The sequence below is a fragment of the Homo sapiens genome, chromosome 1 (genome assembly GCF_000001405.40).
Source record: "Homo sapiens chromosome 1, GRCh38.p14 Primary Assembly".
NCBI classification, from domain to species: Eukaryota; Metazoa; Chordata; class Mammalia; order Primates; family Hominidae; genus Homo; species Homo sapiens.
The window spans coordinates 79,052,316-79,068,770 of record NC_000001.11 but is presented as its reverse complement, the minus strand read 5'-3'; the positions used below and the strand labels follow the sequence as shown (position 1 = coordinate 79,068,770).

At 34.8% G+C, this 16,455-nt stretch overlaps 1 pseudogene, besides 1 other annotated feature; it reads left to right on the top strand.

Moving 5' to 3' along the window:
- Window positions 12,649–14,022, top strand: PSAT1P3 (phosphoserine aminotransferase 1 pseudogene 3; annotated as a pseudogene).
- Window positions 15,728–15,857: an enhancer, noted in NCBI's record as "active region_1238". NCBI's record gives its function as "activates an Ori minimal core promoter by ATAC-STARR-seq in GM12878 lymphoblastoid cells {active_cell/tissue: GM12878}" and the evidence as "EXISTENCE:reporter gene assay evidence [ECO:0000049][PMID:35858748]".

The following is a 16,455-nucleotide window of genomic DNA, read 5'->3' as shown; positions in this document are numbered from 1 at the left end:
TTTTCTGGTTCTTAGAATTAGAAGTGATTTTTAAATTGCACTCTGAAACTATATGGTATTATAACATGATACTCTCAATCCTATTTAACCATTTTTTTAGAAAGCAATCCTCTATTTAGCTGTAACTCTAAGGACATTTAGGTATGTATATTCACCTTCCTACTATACCTTATAGACACTTTCCTGCAATCACGAGGTACTGACTCATGCTGCTTCACTGCAGACAGCTGGGATGGCAGTTAGCTTCCCTCTTGACCTGCTGACACCTTCCCTTTAAAAGTATCACAACACCTCACTTCTGAGTGGAGGTGTAAGATTAGCTTGCCAAGGGCTGTGTTGCTTCGTAGAGGATGGAAGTGAAGAGCTCAAACCCATATTGGTTTTTTGCTGCAGGTCCAGGGTAGGCAGAAGCTCGGTTGCCTATTTGGTCCCACTGGCACCAAAGAAAAAGGACCTGGTAGAAACAGAGTGTTAACTAGACTTGTCTCCACCACTACTTTCTACCTCCCGGATGGATGCTCAGCAATCCGTTAAACCTGCAAGCCATGCTGGGGGGTTAGGGAGCTATGATCAGAAACAGGAGTGTGGCTAACACTACTTCAAACCACTTTATTTATTTTCACTTCTGCCTAGTGGATATGGAAATTCTGTTCCCAACTGGATATCAGTGAAGTTACAGATGGAAGAAATTAAAGTGTATACTAGCACTTATTTTTAACTCTTTGTTTAGTTTTATTGATACCAGTTGAGGTGAGGATTCATCCCCTAACTGACAAGGAGAGGGAGGAATGAATTCTAGTGGTGACCAGCCATATTTGCACTGCTTTATTTATTAAGTCTCATTACTGTTGGGAGAAGAGTGGAGGCTCAGCTGACCACAAAACCCAACTTACCCTATGTGGTGAAGGAATAGCTATACTACCTGGATCTTCCAGGAAGATAATGGACTCTTCCAGGAAGATGATGGAGTCTTTCAAGAAGATAATGCCTGTTGCATCCGGCAATACCGGAATTGGTTTTTGTTAGTGGAAAATTATGGTGAAAGATCAACTCAACTCCCTCCATTGCTTGATATCTAGTGTCTTGAAAAGTATTGGGTTTTTGCTCAGTTTTTGATTTTTCTGGCAGGAGAATAAACCTGGTCTCTGTTATTCTATCTTGGCTACACCGATGTCTCATGTCTAGAGTCTAGTGAGCAATGGTGTTTTATAATGCAAGCAAAAATAAAATGGGAGATGGAAAGCTACTTATTCAAATAAGTGAAATTGAATATCTCATCTACATTTCTGTGTGAAATTTATAGTTCACTACAAATTTAATAGTATCACAACAATATAGACTTCTTAGTTTTGATAATTGCACTATAGTTATGTAAGATGTTAATTAGTGCAACCTAGGTAAAGGGAATATGGAAACTCTATACTATTTTTACAACTCTTTTTTAAGTCTGAATTCATCTCAAAGTAAAAGTTAACCTTAGAAAATTGTACATTCTTATTATCAGTGTCAATGACTTAAAATTCTGAGTCATTTTCATTTTTAATTTCACTCCTACGCAATCAGCCACCAAAGCTTGTCATTTCTAACTCTTCACTATTTTTTGTCTTCTGCAGTACAGTCTTTGCTCAAGTTCTGATTAATCCTATAGTATTTTGAATAATTTCAATGGCCTCTATGTTAGGCTTCCTATTTCTATGCCTGAGAAGGTACAACTAACTCTCGTGGGTCCATCTGTGATTTGGCCAGAACTAACTAACCTCATCACTTAATAGCCATTTAACCTTTGTGGACCACAATATCCTCAACCGTAAAATGGGAATATTGGAAGGTGAACCATTTACTTCTCAGAGTGGAAGTGAGACACAAATTTCTGTGTGCATATGTATATATATATGTGCATGTATGCACACACACACACATATCTTGGAGTCTGCAAAGCACTTGCATTTTAAAATGACAGTGCATCATTTTTTTTTAGACATAGGCAATCATGCACAATTGCTTCCAGGAAGATTATTTTACTCATGTGTTTTGGATTTACAGACTTCCTGTGATCTGTTTACATAAAAATAGCATCCAGTGGTGACAATGACACCCAAAGCCCAATGACACTCCCCAAGCTAAGTACATCTTAGGGTTTGCAGTGAACTTTTATTGCTACTTTGTACAATTTCTGCCATGTAATACAGCCATACAGGGCAAAAGCTGTTAATTTTCATTTTGTTGCCTTCACTAACTTCTTAAAGTCCCAGAGCTCTAGAGCTGCCTACAAATTAACCCCAAGTAAAATAAGTCACCCTTAAATGATCGAATTGCCTTCCTGGATACAAGTAATAACATCCATTGATTAATGCACCTGTGAGCACATGGGTAAAGCTAAAGTAATAAATGTTTCAAAAAGAAATAAATTTTTTGAAGTTCAATTGTAGAAAACAATAGAATATGATATTAAAATTATTCATTACCTTTAAAAACTATCATCACTTATATAATTTTGTCACATTTTGATATTGTTTATGAGAACGAACACAAACATTAGCATGGTTTAGAAGCCTTTTAAAATTAACAGTATTTTTTCAGATGACTTTTGCTTTACAAGTCACTGACTCAACTCAAAGTGCCTGGATCCCCAACTCCTCCCTTTTTATGGCTTCATATGAAATAAATCATCCAAAATTTCTAAATGATAAATAAAAATGAAATATCCTCAAATTTTATATTATGGACTGAGCATATTTTTTAAAATTTAGCATATATATTGGGAAAGGATTTTTTAAAAACAAAAAACAAAAAATAAAAAAAAAACAAAACAAGACTTGGCCAGGCGCAGTAGCTCTCACCTGTAACCCCAGCACTTTGGGAGGCCGAGGTGGGCAGATCACGAGGTCAAGAGATCGAGATCATCCTGGCCAACATGGTGAAACCCCGTCTCTACTAAAAGTACAAAATTAGCTGGGTGTGGTGGCACACACCTGTAGTCCCAGCTACTCAGGAGGCTAAGGCAGGAGAATCCCCTGAATCTGGGAGGTGGGGGTTGCAGTGAGCCAAGATCGTGCCACTGCACTCCAGCCAGGTGACAGAGGGAGACTCTGTCAGAAAAAAAAAAAAAAAAAAAAAGCAAGAATTATATTTTGGAACAATTTTCCAGTTTGCAATAAAAGTAACATCAGATGACACCACATATCAGCTGGGTAAAAGGATGAAGGTTAATGAATAATTCAGAATTACCACCAGATCCTCAACATCATAATGGTTTTGTACTGCTTGGTTATGTCTTGCTGGACTCATTTAACTGGCATAGGCTACATTTCCACACAGCTTTATTCAGTGAAGAAAATCTATACTGAGACCCTAAGCCTTAACAAATTGCCAAGGGATGAGTCTAAAGATTAGTGGGGATCTCTGCATATGTATATTCAGAACCGAACCTCTTAAATAAGGAAGGTAAGGCAGACATGTAAGTGTAATGAAGAGTTCCTGTTTGCATCTCAGGTAGTTTACCCGTTCACTGTGACGTTAAATAAAAACCTTGGCTTTAAATATTGACAGATGAAGAGTTATTATCCAGTAAGGGCTGTGTGTTATACAAGCAATTTTGTTTTAGTTCTGGGGGCATTTGGCATAAGAACCCTTCACTATCATCTGCAGCTTGAGGATGCACAGCTGGAATGGCAATGGATTTCTTATTTGTAAAACATCCACGAATTTCACCACAGGCCTTCTACCAACATGGAAGCATCTGTGAATCAAACTGTTCCCCAGCTGTTCATCCACTCCTGGCAGGTTATTGCAGTATAAAGCCCCTATTAGTACTGCTGGTTACACTACACCCCTGATGGGTCTATACAAAATTGTTCCTCTTATACTACAGTTTAATGCACGAACCTCCCCTCCAAAGATAAATCCCTTAGGATTCTTTAAAAAAAAAAAAAACTCATGTCTTTTTGGAGGTTTTGGGGGCAACTCTCCACATTTTTATTTGACCCCTTTTTAATTTCCTAGGCTTTTGCAAAAGGTCCTCCCTTCCAGGCAGATACACCCTTGGTGCTTTCCCACATAAAGAATAGAGAAAATTTCTGTGAACACAGGACTGAAATGCTAAGTAGAGTAAAAACAAATGCCAGAACGAAGTTGTTTCAGGCCTTATCTTCAAAAGCAAAATTGCTTCAGGATGCCTTAACAAATAGTTTTTCTTATTAAGGTTCTGGAAATTTTAATTTCTTTAACAGTGACACACATATTTTAGGTTTTAATTAAAAGCTTTGAGTTATAAGAATTTCTATCATTGTACCACTGTACTTTTATTTAAAAACAAATTGCATTTATAAATCACTTGGTAAAGGGTATAAATCACTTGGTAAAGCTTTACTTCAGGGAAGGGAAAAAGAGTAGCTTTTCATATTAAAAGTAAAACAATAAGATGTAACATTTAAATTTGCAAGAAACATTTATTTTAACTTAAACACCAACTAATAATTATGGTAAATGAATAATTATAAGGCTTGGTATTCAACAAAGTTGGAAGTTTTGCAAATGTTAATGGAAAACATACAAGGATTTGTTGTTTTAAAATTTAGGTATCATCAATGATTATATTTTGTTTTATTGCTCCAAAATTTCATTAAGATCATGCTAACTGCTGTAATTCACGAACTCTCTTAGCATTAGCATGCTATTTCTTCCACATCACCAAATCTAGAATTTCTTAACATCAAATTGTGTATAGTTTCCAGTACCTAATATCTGTTTTTCTCTGGATTTATGTTTCTTTGAATCTAAATAATATAGGCTCAGTTCAATAAGAGTACAGTCACATAAGTACTATTTGTAATAGCTTAAATATAATATTACATCAATCATTAACAAAGCAGTATCAATAGAGTTTCGCTTATGTGTGGATTTTTCATTTTCATTTAGATTTTCATGTTTTTTGAAATTTCAGATATCTCTTCAGATTTTAGATATTAGATTTGTTTGTATTCATAAATGAACATAAATATAATGTCCTTTTGAAAATAAAATTTCTAGTATATAGGGCACTTTCAAATCGAAAATAATATATTTGACTCTGTATTTGAAGAAAGAGAATATGTCAAATAAACCCTGCCTACTCACATTAAAAGAAATGCATTACCAATTCGTTAGTAATAGAGTAATTGGTAATATGTATTATATATGCTGGTGGTAAGGACTAGCAAACTAAGTTGTTCTGCAGGCTGAGCTCATCTGGTGTGTGGCCTGGTTACCCACACTAAGCAATATTTCTCCAAAGAAGTAACCATTCTTTTTCTCATTTACTATCCCTCTCCATATTATTGCTTTACCTACCTCCTTCAAAAACCCAGTCACCATTGATACACTTACTGGGCAGTGTCTTCATTCCACCTACTTATAATCACAGGTAACTTCTCCATAATTCATGACAATTTTGTCACATTGGTAAAGCTCATGACTGACACATATTCTCATATTAGGTCTTCTGTCTGTCTAGAACGTTTTTTCCTGTATAGTATTTTTTTATGGTCATGATCACTTCTTGTCATGTTAAAGTACCAGTAAAGCCTTTCCTAACTATCCAGTGTATTAGTCATACACCATCATTTTCTGTAGAAAGTAGGATTCCCATTTGTCTGAAATGTTCATCAAAGAGTAGCTTAAATGAGTTATAATTTTATTTTTCTCACACCTAAGAGACATGTAGGCAATTGGTAAAGTTAACTCAAGGCCCTTGTCCTGTCTTTTTCACATAATCACAGCGTGGCCACCCAGCATCAGACATCACTTCCACATTCTAGCCAGGAGGAAATAAACAGCAAAGAAGGGGATATACCTGGGAAAGGAATGAAACTCTCCCAGAAATTTCAAGTCTTCTCACATTTTATTGTTCAGAACTGCATCACATTGCCACAAGGAACACTTAAAAATAGATTTTTTGCCACATTGAACAATAGCGATATTCTATTAGCAATAAAAGATGGATAATGAACGGCATCCAGCGGCATTTGTCAAATTTTCATAAACATCTTTTGTTGTATTTGCTGACCTTACCTTGTTATTTTATTTGTTTATATGTTTATGTATTTAATGTCCTCTTACTAAAAGGTGAGCTCTAGAAGATAAGAAGCTCTATCTCTCTTGTTTGCTTCTGCACTTCTAGAATCTAGAAAACTCTCTGGCACATAGTGTATGCTTCATAAATATTTTCATAGTAAAGGAATATTGGGTTAATTGAAGTTTAAATAGCAACTTTGCCTTATGTATTCCAAACTTATTAAACAAATATTTCCTGTCTTAAATTCTCACAGAAAATGTCTTCACTATTTTCAGGTAATTGTATAATGATTATTTATTATTCTAAAGAATTGTTGCATAGAATCAGGGATTGCAAATATTTAATCAGTCGTTACCTTGTTTTGATTTGAAAGAATTCTAATACTCAAAGTTGAGCATATTATTTTCCATAAAGCTAATTTCTCTACACACTTCCACTCCCTCTTTCAACCTCCTCCACAAACAACAGAAATACAGGAAGCAACACATTTTGGAACAAATACCATATGCTAAAACTCAGCCAGATATCACATATATAAATATTTTGAAGACTAAGAAAGTCATTAGTTTAATCAAGCTCTATAATGTTATAAATAAATGAAGGATTATTATTGTTGGCCTTATAAAATCTCATAATTTAATATCTAAATTATATTATTTTTAAATGGAAGTCTACTTTATTTAAATTAAGAGGACTAGGCTACTTATTTTTTTTATTTTGTTTTGGAGAGTACATGTGCAGGTTTTTTATATTAATACATTGAGCAATGCTGAGGTTTGGGCTTCCCATGGACCCATTAACCAAATAGTAAACATAGTACCCAATAAGTAGTTTTTCAACCCTTACCCCCTACCACTGTACCCCCTTTTGGGATTCCCAGTATCTATTATTTCCATCTCTATGTCTATGTGTACCCATTGTTTAGTTTTCACTTGTAAAGTGAGAACATGCGGTATTTCATTTTCTGTTTCTGACTTATTTCATTTAGGATGATGGTCTCAAGCTCCATATATGTTGCTGCAAAAGACAGAATTTCATTCATTTTTATGCCTGCATAGTATTCCATGGTATACATATACCACATTTCTTTTTCCAGTCAACCAGTAATAGACCCTTAGGTTGATTCCATGATTTTGCTATTGTGAATTGTGTTGTGATAAACATACAAGTGCAGGTGTCTCTTTGATGAAACAATTTCTTTTCTTTTGGATAGATACTGAAGAGTGGGATTGCTGGATTGAATGGTAGTTCTATATTTATTTCTCTGTGAAATCTCCATACTGTTTTCTATAAAGGTTAAACTAATTTACATTCCCACCAACAGTGTATAAAGTCTTCCCTTTTCTCCACATCCTTGCCAATATCTGTTATTTTTTGACTTTTTAATAATAGCCAATCTGACTGGTCTGAAGTAGTATCTCATTGTGATTTTAATCTGCATTTCTCTGATGATTAGTTATGTTGAGCACTTTTTAATATGTTTGTTGTCCTCTTGTATGTCTTGTTTTGAGAAGTGTCTGTTCATGTCCTTTGCCCACTTCTTAATTGGATTATTTGTTTGGTTTTTGTTGATTTGTTTAAGTCCCTCATAGATTCTGGATATTAGTCTTTGTCAGATGCACAGTTTGCATTTTTTTCTCCCATTCTGTTGGTTGTCTGTTTATTCTGTTGACTATTTTTTTATGTGCAAAAGTTTAGTTTAATTAGATCTCATTTGTCCATTTTTATTGTTGCATTTGCCTTTAGCCTTAGTCATAAATTCTTTGCCTAGGCCAATATCTAGAAGAGTTCTTCTTAGATTTTCTTCTAGCGATTGCATAGTTTCAGGTCTTATATTTACATCTTCAGTCTATCTTGAGTTAATATTTGTATATGGTGAGAGGTAGGGGTCCAGTTTGACTTCATATGGCTGGCCAGCTTTCCCAATGTCATTTATTGAATAGGGTACCCATTTCCCATTGTTTACTTTTGTAAACTTTGCCAACAGTCGGTTGGTTGTAGGTGTGTGGCTTTATGTCTGAGTTCTCTATTCTGTTCCATTGATCTATGTGTCTTCTTTTGTACCAATACCATGCTGTTTTTGTTACTATAGCCTTGTCATATAGTTTGAAGTCAAGTAATGTGTTGCCTCTGGCTTTGTTCTTTTTGCTCAGGATTGCTTTGCTACTCAGGCTTTCCTTTGGTTTCATATGAATTTTAGAATTGTTTTTATAATTGTGTGAAAATGACATTGGTAATTTGATAGGAATTGCATTGTATCTGTACATTGTTTTGGGCTCTAAACTCATTTTAAGAATATTACTTCTTCCAATCCATGAATATGGGATAATTTTCTATTTGTTTGTGACATCTACAGTTTATTCAATCAGAGTTTTGTAGTTCTCCTTGTAGCAGTTTTCACTTCCTTGGTAAAATGTATTCCTAGATATTTTATGTTTTGTGTGTGTGGCTATTGCAAATAGGATTGAGTTCTTGATTTGGTTTTTACCTTGAGTATTGTTGGTATACAGAAAGGCACCTGATTTTCATACATTAATTTTGTATCCTGAAACTTTACTAAAGTTATTTGTCAGGTCAAGGAGTCTTTTGAAGAAAACTTTAGGGTCTTTTAGATATAAGATCATGTTGTCAGCAAACAGAGACACTTTTATTTCCTCTTTTTCAATTTGGGTGTCTTTTCTTTCTTTTCATTATCAGATTTTTCTGGCTAAGACTTCCAGTATTATGGTTAAATAGGAGTGGTGAGAGTAGACATCCTTGGGTTGCTCGAGTTCTGAGGAATGCTTTCAGTGTTTCACCATTCAGTTTGATGTTGGCTGCAGGTTTGTCTTACAGTATGTTCCTTCAATGCCTAGTTACTTGAGAGTTTTTATTATGAAAGGCTACTGTATTTTATCAAATATTTTTCCTGCATCTGTTGAGATGATATGATTTGTTTTTAACTTTGTTTATGTGGTGAATCACATTTATTGACTTGCAGATGTTGAACCACTCCTATATTCCTGGGATGAAACCTACTTGATCATGATGAATTGTCTTTTTTTCTATGCTCTTGGATTCAGTTTGCTAGTATTTTCTTGAGGATATTTGTGTCTATATTCCTCAGGGATATTAACCTGTGGTTTTCTTTTTTGTTGTATCCTTGCCAAACTTTGGTAACAGAGTGATACTAGTTTTGTAGAGTGAGTTAGTTAGAAAGGAATCCCTACGCCCTGATTTCCTGGAATACTTTCAGTAAGATTGGTACGGGCTCTTCTTTACATGTCTGATAGAATTCAGCTGAGAATCCATCTGATCCTCAACTTTTTTTGGTTGGTAGATTTTTCATTATTGATTTGATTTTATAAATCATTATTGGTTGCACAAGATTTCAATTTCTTCCTGATTCAATCTTGGGAGTTACATTTCGGTTATTTATCAATTTCCTCTAGGTTTTCTAGTTTGTATACATAGAGGTGTTCGTAGCAGTCTCTGAGAATCTTTTATATTTTTGCAATATCAGTTGTCATGACACATTTGTCATTTCTGTTGTACTTATTTGATTCTTTCTCTTTTTTTCTTGGTTTATCTAACTAGCATTCTATTTATTTTGTTTAACCTTTCAAAGAACAAACTTTCTTGTTTCATTGAGCCTTCATTGATTGTTTTATAATTTTAAAAATCAATTTAATTTAGTTCCACTCTGATCTTTTTTATTTCTTTTCTTCTGCTAGCTTAGTATTTTGTTTGCTCTTGTTTTTCTAGTTCCTTGAGGTGAGGCATTAGTTTATTAATTTAAGATATTTCTATCTTTTTGTTCAGGCATTTGGCACTATGAGCTATCGTCTTAACACTGCTTTTGCTGTATGCCAGAGGATTTTATAGGTTGTGTCTCTACGTTCATTTGAAATAATTTTTTGATTTCTACCTTAATTTCTTTGATTCCCTCAAAGTCATTCAGGAGCAAGTTGTTTAGTTTCCACGTACTTGTGTGATTTTCATTTAATCTTCCTTTTGAAGTGAACCCTATGTCATTATATAACAACCTTCTCTGTGTGTGTGTGTGTGTGTGTGTGTGTGTATGTGTGTTGTTCTGTTTATTGTTGTGGGTTTAAAATCTGTTTTATCTATTACAAGAATGGCAACCTCTGCTCTTTTTGGTTTTTCATTTATGTGATCTGTCTTTCTCCACCCCTTTACTTTGAACCTCTGGGTCTCAGTACATGTTAGGTACATCTCCTGAAGGCAGCAGATGGTTCAGTCTCATTTTTTAAATTTAATTTGCCAATCTATATAAGTGGAGAATTTAGGTCAGTTATGCTCAAAATTAATATTTATATGTGATATGTAAGGCTTTGTTTGTGTCATCATGTTTTTAGCTAGTTGCTTTGTAGTGTAACTTATTTAATTGCTTTGTAGGGTTGGTAAATTTGTACTTACATGTTCTTTTATGGTAGCAAGTATTATTCATTTGTTTTCATGTTTAGAACTCCTTTGAATATTTCTTGCAGATTCAGTCTAGTGGTGACAAACTTTTCTAGCATCTGTCCTCTACCTTGTCTGGGAAAGGCTGTTTCTCCTTCATTTATAAAGCTCAGTTTAGCAGCATATAAACTGGTTTGTAAGGTTTCTCCTGAGAAGTCTTCCGTTAGTCTGACGGAATTTCCTTTATAGGAGATTTGCCCTTCCATAGCTGTCTTTAAGATCTTTTCTTTAGCATTGACCTTGGATAGCTTGATGACTATGAATATGCTTTGGTGATGTTCATCTTGTGTAGTATCTAGCAGGCGTTCTCTAAATTTCCTGTATCCAGATTTTTACCTTTGTAACTACGTTTAAAAAAATACAAAATTATTCTCTCAAATATGTTTTCCAAGTTTTTTTTTTTTGCTTCTCTCCCAGGAATGCCTATAAGTCATAGATTTGGTTGCTTTACGTAATCCCATATTTCTCAAAGGCTTTGTTCTTTCAAACAACTTTTTTTTTTTTGTCTGACTGTGTTAATTTGCAAGACCAGTTTCCAAGTTCTGATTTTTTTTCTTCTGATTGTTCTGGTCTATTTTTAAAACTTTCTGTTGTGTTTTGCAATTCTTTTAGTGAATTTTTAAACTCCACAGTTCTATTATATATACATACATATCCATACATATTTATAGCCATTTGATATATATATATGGAGATATATATGTATATATCTATACGTATATAAAAAATTGCTACAATAATATATAGCCTTCTCATCTCTCATATCTTGAATAATTTTTCTGGTTTCGTTGTATTGGTTTTCAACTTTCTCTTGTATCTCATTGAGTTTCCTTGGAACCCATATTTTGAATTCTTTGTTATTTCAGAATTTTCATTCCTGTTAGGATCTATTGCTAGAGAGCTACTGTGATCTTTGAAGGTGTCAAAACACTGTTTTTGTACTGCAGAAGATCTTGCACTGATTCATTCTCATGTGAAAGAGCTGTTGCTTCCTATTTTTGAATTCGCTTTCATTTGTACGAGACTTTTAAATGCTTCATTCTTTTTTTCCTTGAGGGTATGACTGTGGTGTATGTTGCATATGATCTTTTGGCTTTATTTCTGGTTGCTTTCAGAGGGCCAAGTCTCTGTATGAGTTCCTTCATTGTGGGTAGAATTTGTGTGGTGGCTTTCTCAAATGTTGCTTGTTGTTCAAGTACTTTTAGAAAGACGCTATGTTAAACAAGTGTAACTGCAGATGTTAGTAGCACTTTTATAATATAATCACCTATAGGTAGAATGAGAAAGTTTCTGGATTTCTAGCACCTAACATTAAATTTCATGCTTTCTGAAAGTAGGCCGTCTAGGAAACAGTTACTTTTGAATTCTCTGGACTTTTATATTTTTGAATGCAAAGGAAATCTGTTAGCTGTTTGACTGTTTTTCAGTTTGCTCGAGACTTAAATTGAGCACCCAGTGCTATTTACTGATTCTCACTTGGAAAGAACTTGGAAAGAAAAGTTCCACAGAATAAAGACAGAGTAATTTCCATTGGTTCACCATGAATTCTCTGATAATTTCTTTACAGAAAAAAACATAGAAAATAGATGTAATTATTATTATATTCCCATTATGAAGTAATAATTTTTGACACATATTATTTTAAATTATCCAGCAATTTCTTTCCCAGTGAAAGAATTGAGGAACTGAAAATTATCACTTTGCCACATTACTCAGAATCACAAAATTGGCTTCAAAATGGTGTTAAAACTACACTCCAAGTTGCCTGACCCCGAAGCTTGTGTTTAGACCATTTTTTTTTACTAGGGTGTCTAATAGATGGGCAACTGAAAAGGATCATTACTTTTTTTTTCAGGACAATGGGATGTCATTTAAATACCCAGAAAGAAACAACTTGCCCACTGTTATACTGATTCCCTGAAAGACTTCAAAGGATGAAGAGTTTACAGCTACAGAGTATTCAATAGACCTTGGGTCAGTGTAGAATCAGAGTTACCTTTATGTTTTAAAATAAATTTGATTTTAATTAAATTTATGTATTTGTTTTTTTGTTGTCTGCTTAGAAGACCAGGCAAATCATTGTAAGTTTGTGTCCTCCACTCACTTACCCACTTATCTGTAAGAATTACCTAGCCAGGAACACTAGCCGTTCACGTGTTCGGTCCTCCTTAGCTGACTCGCCGCCCTCGCTGCCGCACCATGGACGCCCCGAGGCACGTGGTCAACTTCGGGCCTGGTCCCGCCAAGCTGCCTCACTCAGTGTTGTTAGAGATAAAAAAGGAATTATTAGACTACAAAGGAGTTGGCATTAGTGTTCTTGAAATGAGTCACAGGCCATCAGATTTTGCCAAGATTATTAACGATACAGAGAATCTTGTGCGGGAATTGCTAGCCGTTCCAGACAGCTGTAAGGTGATTTTTGTGCAAGGAAGTGGGTCTGGCCAGTTCGGTGCTGTCCCCTTAAACCTGATTGGCTTGAAAGCAGGAAGATGTGCGGACTATGTGGTGACAGGGACTTGGTCAGCTAAGGCCGCAGAAGAAGCCAAGAAGTTTGGGACTATAAATATCATTCACCCTAAACTTGGGAGTTATACAAAAATTCCAGATCCAAGCACCTGGAACCTCAACCCGGATGCCTCCTATGTGTATTATTGCGCAAATGAGGTGGTGCATGGTGTGGAGTTTGACTTTATACCCTATGTCAAGGGAGCAGTACTGGTTTGTGACATGTCCTCAAACTTCCTGTCCAAGCCAGTGGATGTCCAAGTTTGGTGTGATTTTTGCTGGTGCCCAGACGAATGTTGGCTTTGCTGGGGTCACTGTGGTGATTGTCTGTGATGACCTGCTGGGGTTTGCCCTCTGAGAGTGCCCCTTGGTCCTAGAATACGAGGTACAGGCTGGAAACAGCTCCTTGTACAACACGCCTCCATGTTTCAGCATCTATGTCATGGGCTTGGTCCTGGAGTGGATTAAAAACAATGGAGGTGCCGCGGCCATGGAGAAGCTTAGCTCCATCAAATCTCAAATGATTTATGAGATTATTGATAATTCTCAAGGATTCTACGTATGTCCGGTGGAGCCCCAAAATAGAAGCAAGATGAATATTCCATTCTGCATTTGCAATGCCAAAGGAGATGATGCTTTAGAAAAAAGACTTTTTGATAAAGCTCTTGAACTTAATATGTTGCCCTTGAAAGGGTATAGGTCTGTGGGAGGCATCCGGGCCTCTCTGTATAATGCTGTCACTATTGAAGATGTTCAGAAGCTGGCCGCCTTCATGAAAAATTTTTTGGAGATGCATCAGCTATGAACACATCCTAACCAGGATATACTCTGTTCTTGAACAACATACAAAGTTTAAAGTAACTTGGGTATGGCTACAAAAGGTTAACAAACACAGTATTTTCCTCAAATGAACATGTTTATTGTAGATTCTTCTTTTTTGAAAGAACAACAGCAAAACATCTACAGCTCTGTAAAGCTGGTGGGAACTAATGTTCACCTTAATTCTGACTTGAACTGGAAGCATTTTAAGAAATCTTCTCATTGCTTTTCTAACAAATTCCCGCTTGTTTAGCCTTTGCTGCTACTTTTTCTAGTTAGATTTCCAACTTGCCTGTGGACTTCATACTGCAAGTTGCAATTAATTATTTCTAGAGTCATGGGAACACACAGCATAGAGGGTAGGTGGGGCCCTCTAGGTGCTGAATCTAAACATCTGTGGGGTCTCCTGTGTTCAGAGGCTGTTGATTCAAGGTCAACATTGACCACTGGAGGAGTGGTTTAAGAGTACCAGGCAAAGGGCAAACTGAAGATTGATCATTATACTGTTATTACAAGAGAAGTGTCATACTTTATATATGTTTATATTAGCAAGGTCTGTTTTTAATACCATATACTTTATATTTCTATACTTTTATATTTCTAATAATACGGTTATCATTGATACATGTAGACACTTTTAGAATTTATTAAATCCTTGACCTTGTGCATTATAGCATTCCATTAGCAACAGTTGCACCCCCTCCCCAGTCTTCCTCTTCCTCTTTTTAAGCTGTTTTATGAAAAACATCTCGAAGTTCTTGATTCATTTTTACCGTTCTTTCCATAGGTAGAAGAGAAAGTTGATTGGTTGGTTGTTTTTCAATTATGCCATTAAACTAAACATTTCTGTTAAATTACCTTATCCTTTGTTCTCCTGACTGTTTTCTTTGTAATGTTTGACGATGAGAGTGATACTTTGCTCAAAAGTCTTTCCCCTATTGTTTATCTATTGTCAGTATTTTATGTTGAATATGTGAAGAACATTAAAGTCCTAAAACATCTAAAAAAAAAAAAAAGAATCACCTAGGATGGAATAAGATGGAAATGATAGCAATGAAAAATAAAGTTGCAGTTACAGAGTTTTGAGTTTTTCTACTTTAGATTACATTATGTACCTACTAATGAAGACTAAGAAGTTTATTTCAATATTAAAAACGTCTCCATAAATAATGAAATAGGAATGCCTGATAGTATAGCTAATAGTTAGCAGGTAAGGATATTTTTATATGTTTACTTTTAAAAATCAAAATGAATATCTTAACTCAGTTTTGGTATCAAATGGCTCATTGCAGCCATTTAGATTCTTGAAGGTAAATTTTACTCTGTGCTGATAGAAATTTTATGCATGATTTGCTGATAGTTTAAAAAAAAGCTGATTTTTTTTCTTGCATATGACAAAAGCAAAAAATACAATAAAATGTCTTTGCATTTGTTAAAAGGCTGAGAAGAATTTAGAATGGCAATATTACTAAGAATACAGAGTCTATAATTATCACTTGCTAGTTCCAAAATACAAATTTTTCTAGAGTTTTATTTGCAAATTATATTTCTCTGGATTCAAGAAATATGCAAGAGAATAGAAAAGAAGAATGAGGGAGAGAAAAAAGAGGGAGGGAGAGAGAGTGAGAGAAAAAGAAAGAGAGAGTGGGGAGGAGGGGGAGGAGGACGAGTAGGGTGGAGGTAGAGGAGATGGTAACCAGGGAAAGCACAATGTCTCCTAATGCTACGCTCTGCTGTGGCTAAAAGATAAGAAAGACTAAGCAAAGAATTATTATGTAGTCTTAAAGAATTATTTCCAATGTACTTTGCATGTAACACATAACATCTAACTACTGTTAGTTGAAGGCTCGTATTCCTTCCTCTTCCCCTCCCTCTCTCGTATCACTTTCTCTTTCTCTTGGTTTCTCTTTCTGTTCTTTGAATATTTCCATTTCCTTTTTTCTAATAGCATGCAGTCTATTCACCTGAATTACAATGTCATGCTGACTTAAGTCTTTTTGTTTCTTTATCTTTCAGAAAAAAATTCACTGTACTATAGAAAATCCAAATTAAAGTAAGAAATTCATGAGGCATTAGTGATTCTGATTCTTATCACCAATATATAGTGGACTCTTTTTAAGCTATGGAGGATCTTTTGAAGGACAGTGGAATATTTATCTTGCAGACAGATTGATAGTAGAACTGAAATAGTAATGAGGACAGTTTATATCAGAACAAGTACAATTAAATTTGGTTATAAAATTTGTAGGTTACATGGGAAATATTTCTTTCTTGTTAAAAGGTATATAGTATGTTAAGAACATTAAAAGTTTCTTATTACAGCATTTCAGATTTGGGAGAAGATTAAAGAATATTGACATATCTAACTTTGAGAATCTAACTTTCATTTTCTTTTGAAATTCTTTCAGTATTACAGCACTCTTATGTTTATTATTTCCCTATGAAACATTTCTGAAACATCTGCTGAGTTTTAAATATTAAGAGATTTTAATATTACAAGAAATGTATGGTATACTCTTGAGGTAACTTTAAGAGCTGCTTCTTATTACTAAATATTTGTAACTGTTATTATTTGTAGATATTAGTTCAAATATACAAAATATATGTCCCCATGA